The sequence below is a fragment of the Homo sapiens genome, chromosome 3 (genome assembly GCF_000001405.40).
Source record: "Homo sapiens chromosome 3, GRCh38.p14 Primary Assembly".
Lineage (NCBI taxonomy): Eukaryota > Metazoa > Chordata > Mammalia > Primates > Hominidae > Homo > Homo sapiens.
This window is the reverse complement of record NC_000003.12, coordinates 136,841,727-136,865,468: the sequence shown is the minus strand read 5'-3', so window position 1 is coordinate 136,865,468 and position 23,742 is coordinate 136,841,727. Positions and strand designations below refer to the sequence as shown.

The window sequence follows — 23,742 nt, the reverse complement described above, 5'->3', positions numbered from 1 at the left end:
TGGTGAAAAAGTAAAATAAGACAAAGTAAAAGTACAAAGCAATGAAAATGTAAAACTCTAGAAAATTTTTGAAAAATGAATATAGGCCAGCCACGGTGGCGCACACCTGTAATCTCAGCACTTTGGGAGGCGGAGGTGGGCAGATTGCTTGAGGTCAGGAGTTCGAGACCAGCCTTGCCAACATGGTGAAACTCCGTCTCTACTAAAAATACAGGCCGGGCGTGGTGGCTCATGCCTGTAATCCCAGCACTTTGGGAGGCCGAGGCAGGTGGATCACGAGGTCAGGAGTTCAAGACCAGCCTGGCCAAGATGGTGAAACCCTGCCTCTACTAAAAATACAAAAATTAGTCAGGCGTGGTGGCAGGCGCCTGTAATCCCAGCTACTGGGGAGGCTGAGGCAGAGAATTGCTTGAACCCGGCAGGCAGAGGTTGCAGTGAGCCAAGATCCCGCCACTGCACTCCAGCCTGGGCAACAGAGTGAGACTCCGTCTCAAAAAAAAAAACAAACAAAAGAAAAAGAAAAATATATATATATACAAAAAAATTAGCTAGGCATGGTGGCACACACCTGTAGTCCCAGCTACTTAGGAGGCCGAGGCACAAGAATCGATTGAACCCGGGAGGCAGAGGTTGCAGTGAGCCAAGATCGTGCCACTGCACTCCAGCCTGGGCAACAGAGACTCTGTCTCAAAAAAAAAAAAAAAAAAGAAAAGAAAAAAACCCAGAACCATGAAGTATCACTAAGTATCTCTTTTCTTTATTATTTTCCTTTTTAAATTTTTTTATATTTTCTTAATTTAGAGACAGGGTATCACTACATTGCTTAGGCTGATCTCAAACTCCTGGCCTCCAGCTATCCTCCCGCCTTGGCCTCCCAAGTGCTGGGATTACAGGCTTGAACTACCCCGCCTGGTCTCCCTCAGTATCTAACAAAACATTACACATAGGTTTTTTTTGTTTCTGTTTTTTTTTTGTGTGTGTGTGACGGAATCTTGCTCTGTTGCCAGGCTGGAGTGCAGTGGCGATCTTGGCTCACTGCAACCTCCGACTCCCGGGTTCATGCAATTCTCCTGCCTCAGACTCCCGAGTAGCTGGGATTACAGGTGCGTGCCACCACGCCCGGATAATTTTTGTATTTTCAGTAGAGACGCGGTTTCACCGTGTTGGCCAGGCTGGTCTCGATCTCCTGACCTCGTGATCCGCCTGCCTCGGCCTCCCAAAGTGCTGGGATTACAGGCGTGAGCCACCGAGCCCGGCCAACATTACACGTAGGTTTCAAATTTTATTTAGATGGACCTGAAAGCACTGCAGAAACCTGGACAAAGGATAATGCCTAGAAAAATAAATACACATTTTATTTATTTTTTTGAGACGGAGTCTCGCTCTGTCGCCCAGGCTGGAGTGCAGTGGCGCGATCTCGGCTCACTGCAAGCTCCGCCTCCCGGGTTCACGCCATTCTCCTGCCTCAGCCTCCCGAGTAGCTGGGACTATAGGCGCCCGCCACCACGCCCGGCTACTTTTTTGTATTTTTAGTAGAGACGGGGTTTCACCGTGTCTGCTAGGGTGGTTTCAATCTCCTGACCTCGTGATCCGCCCGCCTCAGCCTCCCAAAGTGCTGGGATTACAGGTTTGAGCTACCCCGCCTGGACTCCCTCAGTATCGAACAAAACATTACACGTAGGTTTCAAATTTTATTTAGATGGACCTGAAAGCACTGTCAAAACCTGGACAAAAGATAATGCCTAGAAAAATAAGTACACATTTTAAAATTTAATACATGAGCCAACAGCTGAGTAGATGTGAACACTCTGCAAACTATGTTTATGGATATTACAGCCAATTTCCACAGATCACAATTTTCCCAAAGAAGTCTCAGAGTTTGTGGTCAAGATGAAAAGAAAGCACCATTTATCAACCAGTGCATATTACTATCAAGTTGTGAATGGGATGCCTATTTAAGAATATCACAGACTCCACCCCCCACAAGAAAATTAAGTGTTTTAAAAAGAAAAGAACGAATATTATTGACAATTACCAAACAAAACTTTCTTCTTAGGTTATTTCTCCGTTTACTGTGTGACCTCGCCGAAGGCTGAGAGTCTAGGCACACTGGTTTCCAGGTGCTGAAGAAATCGTTATAGTTGGTTTGTCATACGTCTATCAAAGTAAAATTTTAAAAATGAGTACCTTTTGGCAACACCCGTTTTGGGAGGACATTGAGCTGCTTTGCTCCCTACCCAAAGAGGAGTTAGGAAATTCTCTTTAACCTAATTCTTTCCTAATTTCTAGGGCTTCTTACCTAATCTAACGTGCATAATTATTTTCAGGTGACTCCGGGTCCATCAGTTTGACACCGAGAGCGTTCCTACGGTTACGTCCTCACCCCTGAACAAAACCCAGCTTCCTGAGCTTCTAACGGCGAATTTAACTTGTATGTTAATACAGAAGAAAGGTTACAAAACCTATCGAAATGGTTTTTTGTTTTACCAAACATATTACAACTCAAGTCAAAAGTTCACAGCCCCAGCAACTCGCGTACGAATCTGAAGCAGGTCCAGACCATTAAAGTCACAGCCCCAGACTAGAAAACGGCCGGTGGGTGGGGGGAGGGGAGAGGGCGCGTCCCGAAGATGTCCACCCGCAGCACCGCGCAGGCTGACGCCTCCCCTCCTCTCGGGCTGGAGGTGAGAGCGCCCTTCCTCCTACCACGTCCCTACCTTCCCGGCCTCGGATTACGCCACAGCTGGCAAAAGGACTTTTTCATGAGAAAACAGACAAGTCAACCAGCGCGCCGCACACTCGACCTCCCAGGCTCGCACGGGCGGCCGCCCGGGCTCTCAGCCCGACACAGCGCTCCAGGGGCTGACAAGGAGGCCGCGGGGTCACGCTCCCTGGGGCAACGGCCCGAGGGTCTCGCGGAATCCCGGTGCAGAAGTCTGGACCCTCCGAGCAGCCTCCGCGCCCCCTCCGGCTCGGCTCCGAGCCTGCAGACGGCGCCCCCGGGGCTAACTCAGCGCGAGAAGAGGAAGCGACGCAGCGAGTAACAGGCTGTATGGACGGACAGCGGACTGAAGGGGGGTGTGTGTGTGTCTGCCTGCCAACAAGGCCGTCTCACCTTCCCGCTGCCGAGCCGGGCAGCTCCAGCTCACCTGAGGAGGGCTCCAGGACGCCACTGCGGCCGCCGTGATGGCCGTAACGGCACGAGGCCTGCGCTCCGCCGCCGCCGCGTAGCTCTTGGGAGAGAGGCGGGGCACGCGCGGTGGGCAGGCGGATCCGCGCGGGCAGGAAACCCACTCTGGACCCAATCTGATAGGTTCAGTCGCCCCCTTCCCCGGTCCCTGACGCGACAACGGTCTCTGCCGCACTGGGATTGGGCGGGCCCTCATGTCAATCAAGCGCCGTGCCTGATGTGGAGGGAGCGGAGGCTGCGCGGCGGAGAGTAGAGAGCTAGAGGGTGAGAAGCGCTGGGCCGGACCAGAACTGTCTTAGCTTTTCCCTCTGCGGCTGCTCTGGTTGGTTACTTTGAGCCTGCCTCCTCAGCGCCGCAGGAGAGACTTAACAGCAAAAATGACTGTGTCCTGAGTTCAGCCCCCACTGCTCTGGGAGCTTCCCCCTGGTTTCTGCACCTGAAGAATGTCATCCCAGCCGAAGGTTCTTAGGAGCGGGGAGCGACAAAGAAAAACAAAGAAAAGCAGACCTGAAAATTGGGACCTGGGAGAAATGTAAGACATGTGCTTAATTTGAGGCACAGACCAAAAGAAGCTGAGTCTGAGGGCCCTCTAAAAGTGTCCTCGTGCTTGGGCAGCTTACATTCTTGGCGGCAGTAGTGTTATGAAGAGGACCTTCGGAGCCAGGTCTGTCCATTCTTAGGGCTCCAGCCACTGGCTGAGGCATCAGTAAGTTGGTTCTTCCCCTCGCCGGTGCTGCAGGCCCCCTTCCCCGCCCCCGCGCCGTAACCTGCCTCTTTTTTTTTTTTTTTTGAAACGAGTTTCGCTCTGTCGCCAGGGTGGAGTGCAGTGGCACGATCTCGGCTCACTGCAACCTCCGCCTCCGGGTTCAAGCTATTCTCCTGCCTCAGCCTCCCGAGTAGCTGGGATTACAGGCATGTACCACCACGCCCAGCTAATGTTTTTGTATTTTTAGCAGTGACGGGGTTTCACCAGGATGGTCTCGATCTCTTGACCTCGTGATTCGCCAGCCTCGGCCTCCCAAAGTGCTGGGATTACAGGCGTGAGCCACCACGCCCAGCCGCCTCATCTCTTCTTAACCATCTTTGTGGCACAGTTTAGGATCGCTCCTCAGGGAAGCTTGCTCAGTTAGGTACCTTCCTTGGAGCACAGGTGTTTTCTCCATCCGAGCTATTGAAATGGTTTGCCTGTATGTCTACCTAGATTGTAAACTCCGTTGAATCAGTAACCATGTCTGTTCAGTTTCTCCCTAGGGCCTTGCAGTAGGGTAGATGGTCAGTAAATACTGTTTAAGGCATTAATACTTTTTATTTTAATCCTGGCCCTGGATATCAGCCTCAAAAGTTTGCAGTTTTCTGCATTTAACTTCAAAATTATTTACGTGATTGGTAATGCATGCATGTGGTTGGCCTGTGCTGTAATTTAGATGTTTGTTCCCCTAAACCTCCTGTTGAAATTTGATCCCCAATGTTGGAGGTGGGGACTAATGGGCAGTGTTGGGTCATGGAGGTGGTTCCTTCAGGAATAGATTAATGTCCTCCCTGGGGAGAGGGTAAATGAGTTCTCTTTATTTCCACCAGAGCTGGTTAAAAAGAACGTCGCACTTCCTTTCTTCTTTTGCGTCCTCTCTGGCCATGTAATCTCTGCACACACCAGCTCTCCTTTGCCTTCTGGCATGAGTAGAAGCAGTCTTAGGCTACCATCAGATGCAGATGCTCAGTCTTGAACTTTTCCAGACATCAGAACCATAAGCCGAAAAACCTTTTCTATTTCTAAATTATCCAGCTTTGGGTATTCCTTTCTAGCAACACTAAAGGGACTAAGACAGCCTGCCATATGTAGGATCACAAGGTCAAGCACAAATTTACCTATTTATGCTGTACTATCCTCAGGTTGACTGGGACAAGTAGACCATGAAACTGGGCAACAGCTACTCTATGTCTACATTCTGTTATTAGCATCCAAAGTGAATAATGGCGGTGAATTTTGAGTTTATTCTAAGGGTTTAAATAACTGCATATTTTATCATGACTGGTATGGACTGAATTGCATCCCCCCCAAAAATTCATACTGAAGCCCTCACTCCTAATGTGACTATATAAATGTTCCTTAACTTACAAAGGGGTTATGTTCCAATAAACCCACCATAAACTGAAAATACCTTAAGTTGAAAAGATCTTAAGTCAGAAATGCATTTAATGCTTCTAACCTACCAAACATCATAGCTTAGAGTAGCCTACCTAAAACATGCTCAGAATACTTACATTAGCTTTCAGTTAGGCAAAATCATCTAATACAAAGCTTATTTTTTAATAAAGTATTGAGTATTTCATGTAATCTACTAAATACTGAATGAAAAACTGGATGGTTTTATGGGTACTCAAAGTACAGATTCTAGAGTGCATATGGCTTTTGGACCATCATAAAGTCAAAAAAATCTTAAGTCAGGGACCATCTCTAGTTGGAGCTAGGCCTTTAGGGAGGTAATAAAAATTAAATTAGGTCATAAGGGTGGGGCCCTAATCCCATAAGATTAATGTCTTTATAGAAAGTGGCACCAGAGAGCTCTCTCCATTTGAGAACACAGCAAGCAGACAGACATCTGCAAGCCAGAGAGAGAGCCCTCACCCAAAACTGACCATGCTGGCACCCTCTTTTGGACCTCCCAACCTACATAACTTTGAAAAAATAAACTTCTGTTGTGTAAGCCACCCAATCTAGTATTTTATTATGGCAGCCCAAGCTAATACAATGGTTTTATTTGTTGATACATTTTATAAAGTTTACAGACTGAGATATTATATTCATTTTTGAAGAAACTTGTCCAGAGTTAAAACTGTTGCTGCAAAATCACCCATCAAACTGTTAGCACAGCGTGACTCAATTTTAATTCTAATTACATATTTAACATACGATGGAGGCAGAAGGTGTGAATATAAATACAACAGGTAAAATACAGAAATACAGTTCTTGCCTTCATGTAGCTTACCACCACCTTAAGTGGGGAAAATTAACCCAGCAAAAAGTATGCTGAAGTCATACATTTAGGGTTTTTGTTTGTTTGTTTGTTTTTTGAGATGGAGTCTCGCTTTTTTGCCCAGGTTGGAGTGCAGTGGCACCACCTCAGCTTATTGCAACCTCCACCTCCCGGGTTCAAGCAATTCTCCTGCCTCAGCCTCCCAAGTTGCTGGGACTACAGGCACACACCACCACACCTGGCTAATTTTTTGTATTTTTAGTAGAGACGGGGTTTCACAATGTTGGCCAGGCTTGTCTCAAACCCCTGACCTCAGGTGATCCACCCACCTCAGCCTCCCAAAGTGTTGGGATTACAGGCGTGAGCCACAGCACCCAGCTAGTTTATCCTCTTAATTTTCCTTCTTTAATCTTTCTCATCACTCATTCTTAACAGGAACTCTTTAAAAAAATTTAAGAAACCTCCAAAAATATATGCAAAAGAGGAGTCAAAGAAGAAAAATAAGCAAACAGCAATGAAAAAGGAAAGCATAGACTGGAAGGGCAGATAGGCAGAAAGGCATGTATGTAATTGCACTTAGAAGGGATGCAGTACATGTTTTAATGGGGTGGGAGCTGTCCCAGAGACTTCCTTTCACACAGTCTGTCTCCCCAGCTTCCAAATATAAACATGCACATGGCTGCTGCTTCCTCTCTTTCAGGGGAACTCAAACCAAAAACAGGAATCATCCTTGCTAATTAGTGCTGAGTGGATCAGGGACTAACCAGAATCAGGCAACAAGAAAATGTAAGTCAAAACTTATGATCAGCCCTGGCAACAGAGCTAGACCCTGTCTCTACAAAACAAAATTTTTTTTAATCAGCTGGGCATAGTGGCATGTGCCTGTAGTCCCAGCCACTCTGGAGGCTGAGGTGGGAGGATGGCTTGAGCCCAGGAATTTGAGGCTGCAATGAGCTATGATCACACCACATCTCAAAACAAAAACAAAACTTATCTAGGGACTACACGTGGAGCTTTGGATATGGGCAGCTAATCTGTCTATGATTAAAAACACGCAGGTGGCTTACTTTATTAATCCAAAATAAAAGAATTTGGGAACACAAGAAAGGGAAAAATGAGCCTCCATGTCAAGACCTTTCCCAGAAACCTGATAGCTTATAGTTAGAAATTGTTATAGACAGTCCAGTGCAAGGAGGACATTAAGCCACAGGGGAAAGGAGTTGTGTGGCCAGGTTAGTCAGGCAATTAACTAGAAAAAATCTGTCCACATAGAGGAGCCTGCATAATAAAAAGGTATTAAACGATAGTAGAATATTGCTAGAGCAGAAGATAGCTAGAAATATAATCAATAACCAGGTTATGGAAGTCAGGCACCTTAGAGTTTATCCTATAGGCAATGAGAAGCCATTCAAAGGGTTTTTGTTTTTGTTTTCAGCACTTTAAAGATGTCATTCTCGTTTTCCAGCCTCCATTATATCTGTGAGAAACTAGTTGTAATTCTTATCATTGTTTTCTTGTATGTCTTATGCCTTTTTCTATGAATGCTTTTAAGATTTTGTTTATATTTATCAAAAGTTAACACTGATGTTTCTAGGTGTCTTTTTCTATGAATGCTTATAAGATTTTCATTATATTTATCAAAAGTTACACTGTGATGTTTCATTACACTGTGATGTTTCATTACACTGTGATGTTTGTTTTGGTTTTGGTTTTGTATTTATCCTGCTTGGGGTTCATTTCATTCCCTGGGTCTGTGGATTGCTGGTTTCTCATTTTCTTTTCTTTTCTTTTTTTTTTTTTATCAAATTTGGAAGACTTTTGTCCAGTATTTCTTCAAATTTTTTTTTCTGTCCCATTCTGTTTCTCCTCTTCTTCTGGGACTACAATTACACTCATGCTAGACTTCTCAGTACTTAGTACAGGTCATTCAGGCTCTGTTCATTCTTTTTTCAGTTTGTATAATTTCTATTGAGAGCCACTGTCTAGTAATCCCTGAAAAAATCTAAATGTTGACATTTTCCCAAAGCACAGTACCCTGCTGATGGCTGTAGTTTCCTTTGGGGAAGGTTTAGAGATATGTTAGTCAGGAAATCAGAAATTAGATGATATTACTACAGAGAGGATTTAGTATTGAGTTTTCATTGACTGAAAAAGCAAAAACGGAACACTGAGGTTACCCAGAGGTGATAACTGCAGGGAGCAGCTGTCAATGATAGATCTAGTGAAAATGGGGACTCAAGGTGGATTATCAGGTCTCAGAAACTCAGACAAATGACCTGGCTGAGTATTGCTCAGACCCCTGAGAGGATGCTGTCTGGCTGATCCTACTACTTCAGGGAAGGATATGATGAGGCTAGTTGTGGATGGGGAGGATGTCAAAAGAAGCTCAAGGCTGAAATCAATTGCTGCTGCTGGAGCAAAGGGCTCTTGCTTGTTGCTGGGATAACAGTGACAGAAACTGCAAACAAATGGAAAGGAGGAAGTCCCTTCTTCCCTTCTGCCTTCCAGTCTCCCTCTAATGCCCTTTATTGATGGAACCTAGTGAGACACCAGCTGACATAGAAAAAAATGTAGTTTGCAGGGTTTGAGCCACAGCATTACAGAGAAATGTATAGAAGGGGGAATGTGGACCTGAGACAATAGTTTAATAAACAGTACCATATCATTTATTTGTGCTAAATTGGTAAGAATGGCCAAAATTAGACTTAATGCCATCATATGTGCTTTTACAGACTTTTAGACCTTTTTGAAAAGAATCTCAGGATACCATGTCAATTTTCTGCTACATTATGATTACTGTTGGTGCCTTTTTCAGGAGTAAGGAGTACTTTTACTGCAGCTCACACATACACTAGCCACAAAATCATAAACAAGGGCAGCCTTGGAAGAGATCTACATAACTGAGGATAAGCAGACCCTACCCCAACGTTAGGTCTCCAAACATCAGGGACAAAATGGCATGGGCTAGGTAGGACTGGCAAGAATCCACACTTCTCCCTATTTCTATTTCCTATGTATCGCCTAATGTGCTCATAATAAGGAGAAAACCAATTTCCTGTTCTAACTTTGGACAGCCACCCATTGTCATTAAAAAACCACTTATTTTCCCTTCTTTCCTCTTTTCTTGCCTCAACCCAGGCTCCTTTACCCAGCCCTATGACTTCTAGTTTTCTAATGCAAGTAGATGACAAAACAGGGTTTGGTGTTCAACATTTCACCTTATAGTGTATTTTTCACAAATGAAGGAGTTTTGTTGAACATTTGTAGAACATTTCTAATTTTTGAACTTCAGTTCCATCTGAAAGGGGTCATTTCTTTGAGTCTTCTATTATTTAGTAATAGCAGTTAACATTCTCCTTCTACTACAATTTACCTGGAAAGACACCCATAAATACCAATAAAGATACCAGATTCATAACGTATTTCATATATTTAATATTTGTATTTGAATATATTAGACTAGAATAAATTTTCTGCATTTGTATATATTATATATTTTATAGCACTCTGTCAGTTATATAACACAAAAGACATTCATAGGTAAACATTAAAATGGCAGTATACATAATAACTGAACATTAATGAGACAATAATAATCAGGTATTCATTTAATGGGAGAGTCTAGTATTTCCTGGTAGTCCTGCTTTCTTAAATTCCTCCAGTAAAGTTTATAGCCAGCAAGGACAAAAACACTAATCATAATGATTACCCCTCCAAAAACATCATAGATGCTAGGAAATATGTGCAGCACGAGAAGCTGCAAGACCATAGCTACCACAATCTCCAAATGTTGTACTGTGCTAACCAAAGCTGGATGGAATTTGTCCAAGGCATAATAAACTCCTAAGAATGCTGCAGTAGAACAGACACATATAGCAATGAGATAACTCCAGGTTTCTCCATCTAATGGGATGATGGGTTCTTGAAGAATAAACATAGTAGATATTCCCCAAATTGTCCCAGTCCAACCAAAAGTAAACAGTGCAGTCCACATGCTGATCTTCTCCTTGATGGATCTGTATACTATCATTGAGAGAGCAGTGGTCAGTCCAGCCATCACAGTCATGGTGTACCCAAAGGCTTCTTTCCAGGCATTTAACAAAGAATTGTCTTCATCAACAATGTTTGGGATCATGACAAGACAAACACCTAAGATGCTGCAAACAACTGTAGCCATGTCAACATAAGCCATTTTCTCATCTACGAGTAAAAAAGCCAAAATGGCACTGAAGACTGTAGTTGTGGCTCTCCACATAGTGGTCCCATTGCTGGGAGGAACTATTGAAAATGATGTATAAGCACAAGTGATAGAAATGACATTGCATACACCATAAAAGAAGAGTCGTAATCTGTATCCACTGGGTCCAAAGGGGGCCTCCTGATAGTAACACACAACTAACACAGATAAGACCTGAAAAACAGAACGGATAAAAATCAGTTCTAGAGATGGAACTTTAGACCGATCAGAAACAAGCCTAGTGATAAGAGCTACACATCCATGAGCCAAAGCAGATCCAAACAGCACTATCCACATTTTTCGGGATTGAAAAATGTTTTTTTCTGCAAAGCTCTGGAATTGTCCAATCTCATTGATCATTGGGTCTTCTGTTGGTGGAGGTAGGGTATCCATGGTTCCAAAGAAAGCTCTCCCTTTTTTTTTCATTTCACTCAGCAGACCTTTCTTTGGATTTTCCTCCATAAAATTTCCATAGCCTTCATTGATTTCTTCATATCCATCATCGCCAGGCTGGGGATAATGAGAAGTATATTTCACCATCACTGTGTTGGGATGTATTTTCACCCGTTTTTTAACTGGATATTTTCTGGAGGGAGAAGTATCCATTTCTTCAGATAATCAATTCTATTTAAAGAAAAAAATTGACAAAAAGACATTCATTTCATTGAAAATTTAATTTCTATTATAATCATATGCATCAATTCAATGATAGAAAGTAGAGGCTGTAACAGTAGTCCAGAAAAAAAAGAAATTAGAGATGATCTGGCAATATGCCTTATCAGATGTATGGTACCTACTGGAATTGTTTACCCTTTTTTCACTCTCATCTGAAGTCTGTCTCCATTTCTCTTTGCTTACTTGTTTAATTCAGCTCTATCTTCTATCTTTATACCACAAACGGATTTTTCCATCTTTTCATTCCTACCTGTTTCTCCACCTATCCAACAAGCAAAACACAGAAAGATAAATAATAACTTAGGTCAAACCTTTCCTTCTCATTGGGTCCATTTGCCTGTTATAAATTATTAGTTAAGTCCAAAGTATTTTGTATAATCAATTCTGTATAATACCAGAATTCACCTTATAAATTATAGTGATTTTTAAACATTTATTCTGGACTCCCCATAAGTTTTGAGATATAAAAATACACTGAAATTAGAACATAAATAACATGAATTTAGTAACACTCATGCATTGTTGGTAGAAAGGTTAAATTGTACAACCTCTCTCGTGAACAGTTGGACCATATGTATTAAGATTTTAACTATCCTCTACTCAGCAATACCACTTTTAAGATTTTATGCTAAAGAGATGATCACAAGATGCTTTTTACATTCTGAATAAAAAAGGGGGGGAATAAGAATACGTATTTATATTTGTTTACATAACAAAGAAATTATATAAAGATGCCAAGAAAACTAATGGTGGTTCAGGTGACAGGAGGAACAAGAATGGAAGAAAACCTTTTTGTTATTTATTTTTTTACATTTTTATTTTTGAATTGTGATATTATCCAAAAATAGAATTAAAATGTTTATCTGTTACTTAAGAAAAAGAATATACCAAAAAATGTGGGGAAAATGTACATACAGGAGAGTTCATTGTAGCTTACTACAATGAATGTTCATACAATGGAATACTATGCTATCTATTAAAAATGACAGTGTAGGCACGGTGGCTCACACCTGTAATCCCAGCATTTTGGGAGGCTGAGGCGGGCGGATCACTTGAGGCCAGAAGTTTGAGAGGAGTTGGCCAGCCTGGCCAACATGGTGAAATGCCATTTCTACTAAAAATACTAAATTTAGCCGGGCCTGGTGGTATGTGTCTGTAATTCCAGCTACTCGGGAGGCTGAGGCATGAGAATCACTTGAATTCAGGAAGCAGAGGTTGCAGTGAGCCAAGATTGTGCTACTGCACTCCAGCCTGGGTGACAGAGCGAGACTCTGTCTCAAAACAAAACAAAACAAAAACGATGTCCACTATATAATGTCAAGTGGGAAAAAAAGTTGAACTTACTGTAAGAATTAAATAAAATAATGCATATAAACAATTTGCCACAGTGCTGGCATATAGTAAACTCTCAATAAATGTTAGCAATAAATTTGGCTTCCTTTCACCTATAACAACTTTATGAAACACTGGGTATCTTCTACAATATTATTATTTCTTTTAGACCTTTATTTTTTCACTTGGTTCTTTCTTTCCTTCCTTTCAACAATTTCCTATTTCCCTCCCAATGATCCTCTCCTCCCGCTTAAAAAACAAAAAAGAGACCAGGCACGCTGGCTCATGCCTGTAATCCCAGCACTTTGGGAGGCCGAGGTAGGCAGATCACCTGAGGTCAGGAGTTCGAGACCTGCCTGGCCAACATGGTAAAATCCTGTCTCTACTAAAAATGCAAAAATTAGCTGGGAATGGTGGCAGGTGCCTGTAATCCCAGCTACTCAGGAGGCTGAGGTAGGAGAACTGCTTGAACCCAGGAGACGGAGGTTGCAGTGAGCCAAGATTGTGCCACTGCACTCCAGCATCAGCAACAGAGCAAGACTCCATCTCAAAAAAAAAAAAAGAAAAAGAAAAAAAATCTTTTTTTTTCTTCCTCGTGACTCCCTGATTTCTTGCCAAAAACTCATCGGTTCCAGGATCTTAAACAATGGCCCAGAAATAAAATCTCATTTTGTTCTTCGACACCATCTGGGGAGCTAACTGTTCTATTCCTATTTACTCCTTTCTTTTCTAAAAGGCACCACCTTCAGCTGGAAGAAGTCATGAAAAAAATATCACCTGTGCCTCCAAACCCTTCTATTTCCTAGCCTGGATGTCCCATTTGCAGTCCTTCTTCCTGCACACCACTATCAGGCTAATCTGACTGTTCTTTATTTCCAACTTTTGCCAGGACATGTCAAATCATAGCTTCAACAATCCCAAACTGAATAGTCTTGTTCTCCCAAATAGATTTTTTTCCCTAATGTCCTCATTTATGTCTGTGATACCACAATTTTTCCAGTTCCCCAAGCTAGAAATCAGGGAATACTGTGAATTATCTTTTCTGCCATCTTACTTGCATTTGGTCACTAATCTTACTGTTTTTGTCTTTGAAATATTCCTGTTTTTCCCTTTCTCCTCCAATTCTATGTAACTTTTATAATTGTGGTTTGGGTTATTGTGAATTCCCATCTAGAATATTGCAACAGCATCCTAACTAGCCTCCCTTGAATCCCAGTCCCTCTCTAAAATTTATATTATCCCACTGTCACATTGCTCTTCCTTTAAAAGACTCAAAACAAAAACAAAAACTTCTCAAGCTTTCCCCATTCAAGAACCTACAGTGATTTCCTATCTCTACCTTATCAAATTTCAACTCCTCTGCCAGGCTCTCAATACCCTGGCTAATCTAGCTCCTATCAGTACTTAGGTCTTCAACACGCCTACCTTGCTCTGAGCAGTCAGTCCAGTGTCTTCCCTGTCCTCATTCTCCATATATACCCTAAGCTTTTATTCTCACCAGTTTCCCTTCTGCTCCAACTTTGTAAACACTGTTCATCTTTTTTTTTTTTTTTTTTTTTTTTTGAGACGGAGTCTCACTCTTCGCCCAGGCTGGAGCGCAGTGGCACAATCTCGGCTCACTGCAAGCTCCACCTCCCGGGTTCACACCATTCTCCTGCCTCAGCCTCCCGAGTAGCTGGGAACTACAGGCTCCCGCCACCACGCCCGGCTAATTTTTTGTATTTTTTTTAGTGGAGACAGGGTTTCACCGTATTAGCCAGGACGGTCTCGATCTCCTGACCTTGTGATCTGCCCACCTCGGCCTCCCAAAGTGCTGGGATTACAGGCGTGAGCCACCGCGCCCGGCCAACATTGTTCATCTTTAAAGGCCCAGTACAAATTCTGTCTTTTAGAGACAGGCCTTTCCTCACCTCTAGCCACTTGTGTATTTTTCTTCCTTGTTTAAACATCTGCAGTAGTACTTCTAACCTAATATTTTGTAATCTAATAATTTTGTAACCTAGCTGTCTCAACTCAGTGGAATTTTGTTTCTAGTCACTGTGCCCAAATTTGGTATGTCAAATAATAATTATTTTGAGACAGGGTCTCACTCCGTTGCGCAGGCTGGAGTGCAGTGGCGTGATCACTGCTCACTGCAGCCTCGACCTCCAGGGCTCAAGCAATCCTCCCACCTCAGCCTCAGCTAAGACACTTGTACACCACCCCTCCTGGCTGTTTTTTACACTTTCTGTAGAGACAGGGTTTTGCCATGTTGCCCACGATGGTCTCAAACTCCTGGGTTCAAGCAATAAGCATGCCTCAGCCTCTCAAAATGCTGGGATTACAGGCGTGAGCCACCACGCCCAGCTGCATTATTTTTTTTTTTTAATTCAACAACTTTGTATATTTTTGGATACAAATACAAAGTTATATCATGCTTTCAAGATATTCTTTTACTAATTCTCAGAACAATGCAAGGCATAAATATTGTGCACACTCATGCCTACTTGTGTGATCCTGAGTTTAATAGAAGAAAGGATAGAAACCAGCTTGGCTTATACATTTTTTAAAATATTATTTGGCTCATTTTCCCTAAAAACATCAAGAAAGGAATTGCCACATGCCTAATTGAAAAGATATGCTTAGTGGTAAGGATATATATACATCAACTTTTAAGAGGTTTAAAAAAAAAACTCCTCCCATTGTAACAGTTTATAGTTCACCACATACTACTAAAACAACCCATAAACCATGAGTGCATTATCAGGAGTGACAGGAGGGTAAGTCGACCGATGTGAAATTTACCTTGTAGGCAATTGACATTCTGCGGTGTATGGCAACTGGTCATGAGCAGTACAAAGAATTTAAAAGGATCCAATATCTCAATATGTTGAAACAAACTGTATCACTTGGATCCATCAATATCATTTTCCATGGTTAGCTTTTGTTTGTTTTTAGTTATTTATTTATTTTTGAGACGGAGTCTCGCTCTGTCCCCCAGGCTGGAGTGCAGTGGCATGATCTCAGCTCACTGCAACCTCCACCTCCCGGCTTCAAGAGATTCTCCTGCCTCAGCCTCCACAGTAGCTGGGATCATAGGCATGTGCCACTACGCCTGGCTAATTTTTGTATTTTTTTGGTAGAGACGGGGTTTCACCATGTTGGTCAGGCTGGTCTCAAACCCCTGACCTCAAGTGATCCGCCCGCCGCGGCTTCCCGAAGTGCTGGGATCACAGGCATGAGCCACCACGCCCAGCCTAAATCCTGTATTTTTAAAAACTAACAATGGGCCAGGTGCAGTGGCTCATGCCTGTAATTCCAGCACTTTGGGAGGCTGAGGCAGGCGGATCACTTGAGGTCAGGGGTTTGAGACCAGCCTGGCCAACATGGTAAAACCTCGTCTCTACTAAAAATACAGAAAATTAGTTGGGAGTGGTGGCACATGCCTGTAGTCCCAGCTACTTGGGAGGCTAAGACACCAGAATCACTTGAACCCAGGAGGCGGAGGTTGCAGTGAGCCAAGATCGCACCACTGCACTTCAGCCTGGGAGACAGAGAACTTGTCTCAAAAATAAAAAATAAAAATAAATAAAAGCACAGGATTTAAAGTAAAAAAAAAAAGTTGGGTTCAACTTTACTTATTAATCATGACTTTGGGTACATGATTTCGTTTTCATAAACTTTAGTTTCTACATGTATAAAAGATAATTATACTTATTACCTATGATTATTACAAAGTATAATGATAAAATATATATAAATTAAATGGCATAACTTGTATATTTAGCACGCAATAAAAATTAGGTACTATTATAATTGCATAATTTTTTTTTAGGTTCAGGGAGTACATGTGCAGATTCGTTACGTGTGTGTGTGTGTATATATAATCTTTTTTTTTTTTTGAGACGGAGTTTCGTTCTTGTTGCCCAGGCTGGAGTGTAATGACATGATCTTGGCTCACTACAACCTCCACCTCCGGATTCAAGCGACTCTCCTGCCTCAGCCTCCCAAATAGCTGGGATTACAGGCATGTGCCACCACGCCCGGCTAATTTTGTATTTTTAGTAGAGACAGGGTTTCTCCATGCTGGTCAGGCTGGTCTTGAACTCCCTACCTCAGGTGATCCGCCTGCCTCAGCCTCCCAAAGTGCTGAGATTACAGGCCACCGTGCCCGGTTCGTTACATGTATATATTATGTAATGGTAAGGTTTAGGATTCTGGTGTATCCATCACCCAAATAGTGAGCATTGCACCCAATAGGTAATTTTTTAACCCTCTCTTCCCACCTACTCTAACCCGTTTCAGAGTCTCCAGGGTCTATTATTTCCATCTTTATGTGTAATTGTTTAGCTCCCACTAATAAGAGCTTGTAAGACAGAACATGCAGTATTTGATTTTATGTTTCTGAGTTATTTTACTTAGGATAATAGCCTCTAGCTCTATCCATGTTGCTGCAAAGGACATAATTTCATTCTTTTTTATGACTATGATGGCTTTTTGTCACCCCAGATTCACTTTGTCACCCAGTGAATATGGCTGGCTCAAGTGATCCTCCCACCTCAGCCTCCTAAGTAGCTGGGGCTTCAGATGCCTGCCATCACGCCTACCTAATTTTTGTATTTTTTGTAGAGATGGGTTTTCGCCATGTTGCCCAGGCTGATCTCAAACTCCTGGGCTCAAGTGATCCACCAACCTCAGCCTCCCAAAGTGCTGGGATTATAAGCATAAGCCACCACACCCAGCCTATGATATGCTGAACTACATTTTCCAATTTACTTAATCAAACACTAATCTATCTAAGTTGCTGTTGTGAAGAGATTTTGCAGATGTGATAAAAGTCCCTTTTGTTTGCTGTAAATGTGTTGATAAATAAATAGCCCCTAATCTGTTGACTTTATCCTGGGTAGGCCTGACTTAATAAGGGGAGCCCTTTAAAGGTGAGGGCTTAGGCCTTTCTTAAATTCAGAGACTCCAAACAGCTTATGCCCTTGGGATTCTAGCCTGTTCATGATTTTTTCTTTACTGCCTGTGGACAACAAGCATTATCCTGTGCTCATGGGGTTCTAACCAGTTCTTTCTCTTTTGTTTTGTTTTTGTTTGTTTTGAGACAGAGTCTTGCTCTGTCGCCCAGGCTGGAGTGTAGTGATGCAATCCCGGCTCACTGCAACCTCTGCCTCCCAGGTTCAAGCAATTCTCCTGCCTCAGCCTCCTGAGTACTTGGGATTACAGGCACCCACCACAGCCACCACCAAATCCAGCTAATTTTTGTATTTTAGTAGAGGTGGGGTTTCGCCATGTTGGCCAGGCTGGTCTCGAACTCCTGACCTCAAGTGATCCATCTGCCTCAGCCTTCCAAAGTGCTGGGATTACAGGCATGAACCACTGCTCCCGGCCCCAGCTGGCCCTTAAATCTCCCCTTCCTGAATGACTGCCTGCAGACTTCAGACTTGCTTATCCAGCCCCCACAAGAACATAAGCCAATTTTTTTTTTCTTTTTGAGATGGAGTTTCACTCTTGTTGCCCAGGCTGGAGTGCAATGAAGCCAGTTCTTTATAATAAATCCCCTACTGGTTCTGTGTTTCAAATTAACTCCTAATTCTGATATACGTTAGAATTCTCTCCTTGCTTGTTGTCTTCTGCTAACTCTAATAGGCCACCAAAATTCTCTTGGTTGCAAGCATCCAAATGTAAGTTATCTCAGGTAAATTCTGGAGGGCCTCCTCAGTACACAAATCCCTTATGTGGGAGAGCCTTACATTTTGGGACTTAGAGTCCACAGATTTTTGCTGTTTGGTCTTCTTGCCTAGTAGGCAGCTCTCCTTGGCAGGAACTAACAGTATTCACGTGGCCCCAGGAAACTAGGAAATTTTATTTATTTATTTATTTATTATTTATTTATTTATTTTTAGACAGTCTCACTCTGTCGCCCAGGCTAGAATGTAGTGGCATGATCTTGGCTCACTGCAACCTCCACCTCCCAGGTTCAAGTGATTCTCCTGCCTCAGCCTCCCTCAGCCTCCAGAGTAGCTGGGATTACAGGCATGCACCACCACGCCCAGCTAATTTTTGTATTTTTAGTAGAAATGGGGTTTCACCATGTTGGCTAGGTTTGTCTCAAACTCCTGACCTCAGGTGATTCACTCGCCTTAGCGCAAAGTACTGGGATTACAGGTGTGAGCCACCATGCCCAGCCGGAAATTTTATTTTAGAGATAAGAAATTTAAGACTCAGAAATTTTGAGTTCTGGCTTGGCCACCAACTAGAGTAATAATTATTGTCTGTCTTAAGAGAAAGTGTTTTGGATGATAATTTTGGGGATCTTTTGACATAACCGTCTTCACAATCGGTTTGTCTTTTTAATGATTTCATACTTACAGTGTTTTGATATCTCTCCCAATGCAAGACCACTATGTAGTTTAGCCACTGTAACTTTCTACAATCTGCTCTAAGTCATTCTGATCAAAGTGCCAACTCAACTTTTCCTCCTTCCTCAGAGACGAGTGCTCTAAACCAGTATCATGGCTCCAGTTCCTCTGACAAGGATTCACATGGGGTAAGTGCCCACTAAGGCAGAGGTGTCTACTTCAGCAGTGCAGAGCAACTCAGCTAAGTAGAGGGAATATGAAATAGAACCAGAAGTCTAGCCTGCTTAGCTACAAATGTTTCCACCAAAAATAGTGGATACAAATGAATTAAAAGTATGCACAGTTTGGTGTCTGCTTGAACAATGGGCACATCCAGTGTGGAGAGCTTAAAATGACTATTTTTATCCAAAAGAGGAACTATTTCCCAAGCTAGATCCCAGAATATGAGGCCTGAGACCACCTCATTCCTATGGCTGAGAAAAGTAATACAGAATTATGGAGGCTGGCACGTCGGCATGTCCAAAATTTGCAGAGTGGGTAGCAGGCTAGTCCAGAGAAGTGCCAATATTGCGGTTTAAGTCCAAAGTCTGTTGGCTAAAGAATTCCCTCTTGCTTGGAGGAGGTCAGTCTTTTGTGCTATTCAGGCTTTCAACTGATTGGACGATGCCCACCCACATTATGGAAGGCAATTTGCTTTCTCCAAAGTCCACCCTTTCAAATGTAAATCTCATCCAAAAACACTCTCACAGAAACATCCAGAATAATGTTTGACCAGCCAAGTGGACACATAAAAGTAACCATAATTTTTTTTTTTTTTTTTACGGCCGGGTGCGGTGGCTCACGCCCGTCATCCCAGCACTTTGGGAGGCCGAGGCGGGCAGATCACAAGGTCAAGAGATCAAGACCATCCTGGCCAACATGGTGAAACCCCGTCTCTACTAAAAATACAAAAATTAGCTAGACGTGATGGCGCGCACCTATAGTCCCACCTAATTGGAAGGCTGAGGCAGGAGAATTGCCTGAACCTGGGAGGCGGATATTGCAGTGAGCCGAGATCGCGCCACTGACTCCAGCCTGGCGACAGAGCGAGACTCTGTCTCAAAAAAAAAAAAATTAAATTTTTAGGGCATAACTGCAGCTGTTCCTTAAGTAATTTGTATCTGCTTTAAACCACTAGAGAATTAAACTATTCTCAATCAATTCTAAAGGGTGCTGGAAATACATGTCTTTCAGCATCTTCAGGCTGAGTTTCAAGTGCTAGTTTCCTGCTAGTTTCCCAGTGCATGCCTCACATTTTGGCCCAGTCAAGTAAGTCCCATCACCAGCAAATCCACAGTGATTCCACATCAGGAAATTCCCAGTGGTTCCATATCTGAGCTTGCTCAGAATAAACTTCTCACCCAAGAGCTTATTTACCACCATCAGATCTCTAAATAAATAACATTTTGTTTATTCCTATTACAAAAGCAATATATGTTCATTATAGAACATTTAGAAATGTGGGAAAACAAAGAAAATAAAAATCACTCATAATCCTACCATTCAGAGACAACTACAGACCCTTCCAGTAAGATTTTTCTTACAAAAATGATATCAAACATTATATCCTATTTTATAACTTCCCCATTTTACAATACATTGTAAACATTTCCATGTCATTAAAAATTACATAATATCACTTTTAATGGCTAGTTAATATGGAACCAACAAGGGCTTTGAACACATTAACTTCAGCTCTCTGAAAGCTGAAAGGCAAATGGGATGACAAACTACCCTTATACAGGATTAGGTTCATAACAATCACAGGAAATGCCACATATGTGAAAATAAACAGATAACAATTTTGAAGTTTTTCCATTGAATGTACATGAAAGAATGTTTTGTCTTGTTTTCTTTTTTTTTTTTTTTTTTTTTTTTTGAGACAGAGAGTCTTGCTGTCGCCCAGGCTGGAGTGCAGTGGCCCAATCTCTGCTCACTACAACTTCCACCTCCCAGGTTCAAGCAATTCGTGCCTCAGCCTCACGAGTAGCTGGGACTACAGGTGTTAGCCACCATGCCCAGCTAATTTTTGTATTTTCTGTAGAGACAGGATTTTTGCCATGTTGGCCAGGCTGGTCTCAAACTCACGGCCTCATGCAATCAGTCAGCCTGGGCCTCCCAAAGTGCTGGGATTACATGTGTGAGCCACCACGCCCAGTCAACAAATTTGTTGTTTTTTTTTTTTTTTGAGACGGAGTCTCGCTCTGTCTCCCAGGCTGGAGTACAGTGGCGCAATCTCAGCTCACTGCAACCTCTGCCTCCCAGGTTCAAGCAATTCTCCTGCCTCAGCCTCCCGAGTAGCTGGAACTACAGGCGCGTGCCACCACACCCAGCTAATTTTTTATATTTTTAGTAGAGACAGGGTTTCACTGTGTTAGCCAGGATGGTCTCGATCTCCTTACCTCATGATCCGCCCGCCTCGGCCTCCCAAAGTGCTGGGATTACCGGTGTGAGCCACCGCGCCTGGCTGTTTTTTTCTTCTTTTTGAGACGGAGTCTCACTCTGTCGCCAGGCTGGAGTGCAGTGGCGAAATCTCGGCTCACTGCAACCTCCGCTTCCCGGGTTCAAGCAATTCTCCTTGATTCTCTCCGTGCCCGGCCAGCAAATTTGTTTTCTTATAACTTGCACAGCCTGTCCACCTCCCAATCACTTCTACTCAAACCTTCATCTAGGCTCAGCTAGGCTAAGGGCAAAGGGTAAGTAGTAAAATTCACTCAGAACTCTGATTTTTTTGTTTTGTTTTGAGACAGAGTCCCACTCTGCCACCCAGGTTAGAGTGCAGTGGGGCAATCTCAGCTCACCACAACCTCCACCTCCTGGGTTCAAGGGATTCTCCTGCCTCAGCTTCCTCAGTAGCTGGGACTACAGGGGTGCGTCACCATGCCCAGCTAATTTTTTTATTTTTAAGTAGAGATAGGGTTTTGCCATGTTGGCCAGGCTGGTCTCGAACTTGTGACCTCAGGTGATCCTCCCGCCTTGGCCTCCCAAAGTGCTGGGATTACAGCCTTGAGCCACTGCGCCCAGCCTTTTTGAAACAGGGTCTCACTCTGTCGCCCAGGCTGGAGTGCAATGGAGCAATCTCAGCTCACTGCAACCTCCACCTCCTGGGCTCAAGGGATTCTCCTGCCTCAACCTCCCACGTAGCTGGGATTATAGGTGTGTGCCACCACACCCGGCTAATTTTTGTATTTTTTTAGTAGAGACAGGGTTTTGCCACATTGGCCAAGCTGGTCTCGAACTCCTGGCCTCAAGTGAACTGCCCACCTCAGCCTCCCTAAGTGCTGGGATTACACACCTGAGCTACCACACCCTGCCAGAACCCTGATTTTTTTTTTTTTTTTTTTTTTTTTTTTTGAGACAGAGTCTCGCACTGTCACCCAGCCTGGAGTGCAGTGGCGCGATCTCGGCTCACTGCAAGCTCCGCCTCCCGGGTTCACGCCATTCTCCTGCCTCAGCCTCCCGAGTAGCTGGGACTACAGGCGGCCACCACCACACCTGGCTAATTTTTTGTATTTTTAGTAGAGACGGGGTTTCACCGTGTTAGCCAGGATGGTCTTGATCTCCTGACCTCATGATCCGCCCACCTTGGCCTCCCAAAGTGCTGGGATTACAGGCATGAGCCACCATGCCTGGCCCAGAACTCTGATTTTTAAAGTGCTCCTTCTAAGAAGACTCAGAGCTACAGAGATGTCAGAAACAATCATAGAATGACTCTACATCCTCCCACAATGATACTAGACAGACACACTGGCACACCTCGAAATTTCTGGGTTGTGCACAGCCCAAGAGGGCTCATTTAAGCTGCCATGTCCACTCCTCCAACAAATCCAGGCACCATCTAAAGGGAACATGCCAAGTCACAGTCTCCTTTGTGAATTCCATAATGGCAAGAGAGCTCTCATTCATATTTGCGTTCCTGGCACCCAGAGCACATTTAATAAAAGTTGATTAAACAAAAATAATGACTTGGTCCTGAACTGCATTCTACAACTGCTCCTTGAGTTTTGTCCCATCCTATAATAACCATCACAAGCTCTGCTATTTATTCTACCATTTCTGTCCTGGCCCCACCTTTGAGATTGTTCTCACAGTTATCTTTGCCACTAGGTTGCAATTCTGACTGTGCTGGTGATGCTGGTTCCAGGTCCCTCAGGAACCCCTCCCCCAGTCTGGTCTGCCCTTGAACTCTATACTGGCCCCAGGGTATCCCAGGATTGTCAGAAAGGCCTGGCCAGGATTCACCTGGGAGAGGGATCAGCATCTCTGCAAAGTTGTTGGATTGAAAGAACTTTCATTTTGAGCTACATCATTGAAGAGCTTTAAATCTGAAAATAAGAAAGACGTTGAACCCTATTACTCACATCTCTTTGTCATTTGAAGCAGATCCCGAACCACTCAAAAGGACAAAACAAGGAAATAGCAATGAAATTGGATTCAGTGAATGGGGTAAGGGTATTAAGTGTCTGAAATATAAGAGATAAAAAAATTAGTTTTTACCTTTTTTTCTATTTTCTAAATGTTTTGGTGGCTAGAATAAGATATACTTTGAACTCAAGAGCAATAAATGTTAATATATTAAAAGTAGCTTTATGAAATATGGAAAGTATCTTTATTTCAAAATACTTCAAAGTAATCATCTGAATATTTATCAGAAATATTAAGACAACTTATTAAATCCTGTATTAAAATGATTGCTTATTACTTTTTGTTTATACTAGTCAGAAGTGATTCTCTTCCACATTTTAGATTTTTCAGAGTAAAAAGGATATAATTTTAGACTTTCAATTGAATATAAACTGGGGTTTTTCCACACGATTTGTGGACATGGCTGTCTGATGGTGACTCTTAGGTATTTATGCTAAAAATGTTATTTTGGGGATCCTTGGGAATGGACTCTGATATTTATTTATTTATTTATTTATTTATTTATTTATTTATTTATTTTGAGGC

The 23,742-nt window shown here is 42.9% G+C and overlaps 2 protein-coding genes and 1 long non-coding RNA gene across 17 annotated transcripts in view, besides 5 other annotated features; 1 reads left to right on the top strand and 2 right to left on the bottom strand.

Moving 5' to 3' along the window:
* The window catches only part of NCK1 (NCK adaptor protein 1), an 89,399-nt gene extending 86,138 nt beyond the window's left edge, over nucleotides 1–3,261 (bottom strand). The window contains exons 1-2 of one of the 5 annotated variants that reach the window (XM_047448189.1): nucleotides 3,150–3,261; nucleotides 2,036–2,157 (exon numbers count right to left, since the gene is read on the bottom strand). The gene's annotated coding sequence lies outside the window, so the exon portion shown is untranslated. Of the gene's footprint in view, nucleotides 1–2,035; nucleotides 2,158–2,299; nucleotides 2,324–2,717; nucleotides 3,021–3,115 lie in introns of those variants that run through there. The other 4 variants (NM_001291999.2, NM_006153.6, XM_024453538.2 and 1 more) reach the window with 4 other exon arrangements.
* Nucleotides 2,393–2,512: an enhancer, noted in NCBI's record as "active region_20592". NCBI's record gives its function as "activates an Ori minimal core promoter by ATAC-STARR-seq in GM12878 lymphoblastoid cells {active_cell/tissue: GM12878}" and the evidence as "EXISTENCE:reporter gene assay evidence [ECO:0000049][PMID:35858748]".
* Nucleotides 2,523–2,602: an enhancer, noted in NCBI's record as "active region_20591". NCBI's record gives its function as "activates an Ori minimal core promoter by ATAC-STARR-seq in GM12878 lymphoblastoid cells {active_cell/tissue: GM12878}" and the evidence as "EXISTENCE:reporter gene assay evidence [ECO:0000049][PMID:35858748]".
* Nucleotides 3,243–3,302: a silencer, noted in NCBI's record as "silent region_14762". NCBI's record gives its function as "represses an Ori minimal core promoter by ATAC-STARR-seq in GM12878 lymphoblastoid cells {active_cell/tissue: GM12878}" and the evidence as "EXISTENCE:reporter gene assay evidence [ECO:0000049][PMID:35858748]".
* Nucleotides 3,406–23,493, top strand: NCK1-DT (NCK1 divergent transcript). Of its 3 annotated transcripts, NR_110175.1 has the most exons (4): nucleotides 3,406–3,722; nucleotides 6,866–6,951; nucleotides 18,883–18,941; nucleotides 22,900–23,493. It is a non-coding gene; the product is annotated as an NCK1 divergent transcript (long non-coding RNA). The 3 variants fall into 3 exon arrangements; NR_110177.1 differs by lacking the exon at nucleotides 6,866–6,951; NR_110176.1 differs by lacking the exon at nucleotides 6,866–6,951 and having other exon boundaries at nucleotides 3,406–3,854.
* Nucleotides 3,663–3,722: an enhancer, noted in NCBI's record as "active region_20590". NCBI's record gives its function as "activates an Ori minimal core promoter by ATAC-STARR-seq in GM12878 lymphoblastoid cells {active_cell/tissue: GM12878}" and the evidence as "EXISTENCE:reporter gene assay evidence [ECO:0000049][PMID:35858748]".
* Nucleotides 4,283–4,332: an enhancer, noted in NCBI's record as "active region_20589". NCBI's record gives its function as "activates an Ori minimal core promoter by ATAC-STARR-seq in GM12878 lymphoblastoid cells {active_cell/tissue: GM12878}" and the evidence as "EXISTENCE:reporter gene assay evidence [ECO:0000049][PMID:35858748]".
* The window catches only part of SLC35G2 (solute carrier family 35 member G2), a 36,763-nt gene continuing 22,601 nt past the window's right edge, over nucleotides 9,581–23,742 (bottom strand). For 7 of the 9 annotated variants that reach the window (XM_017007290.2, NM_025246.3, NM_001097599.2 and 4 more), the window contains exon 2: nucleotides 9,581–11,026. In XM_017007290.2, the coding sequence (XP_016862779.1) occupies nucleotides 9,770–11,008 (1,239 nt within the window). In that variant the 5' untranslated portion in view covers nucleotides 11,009–11,026 and the 3' untranslated portion in view covers nucleotides 9,581–9,769. Of the gene's footprint in view, nucleotides 11,027–11,199; nucleotides 15,973–23,742 lie in introns of those variants that run through there. The other 2 variants (XM_006713773.5, XM_047449027.1) reach the window with 2 other exon arrangements.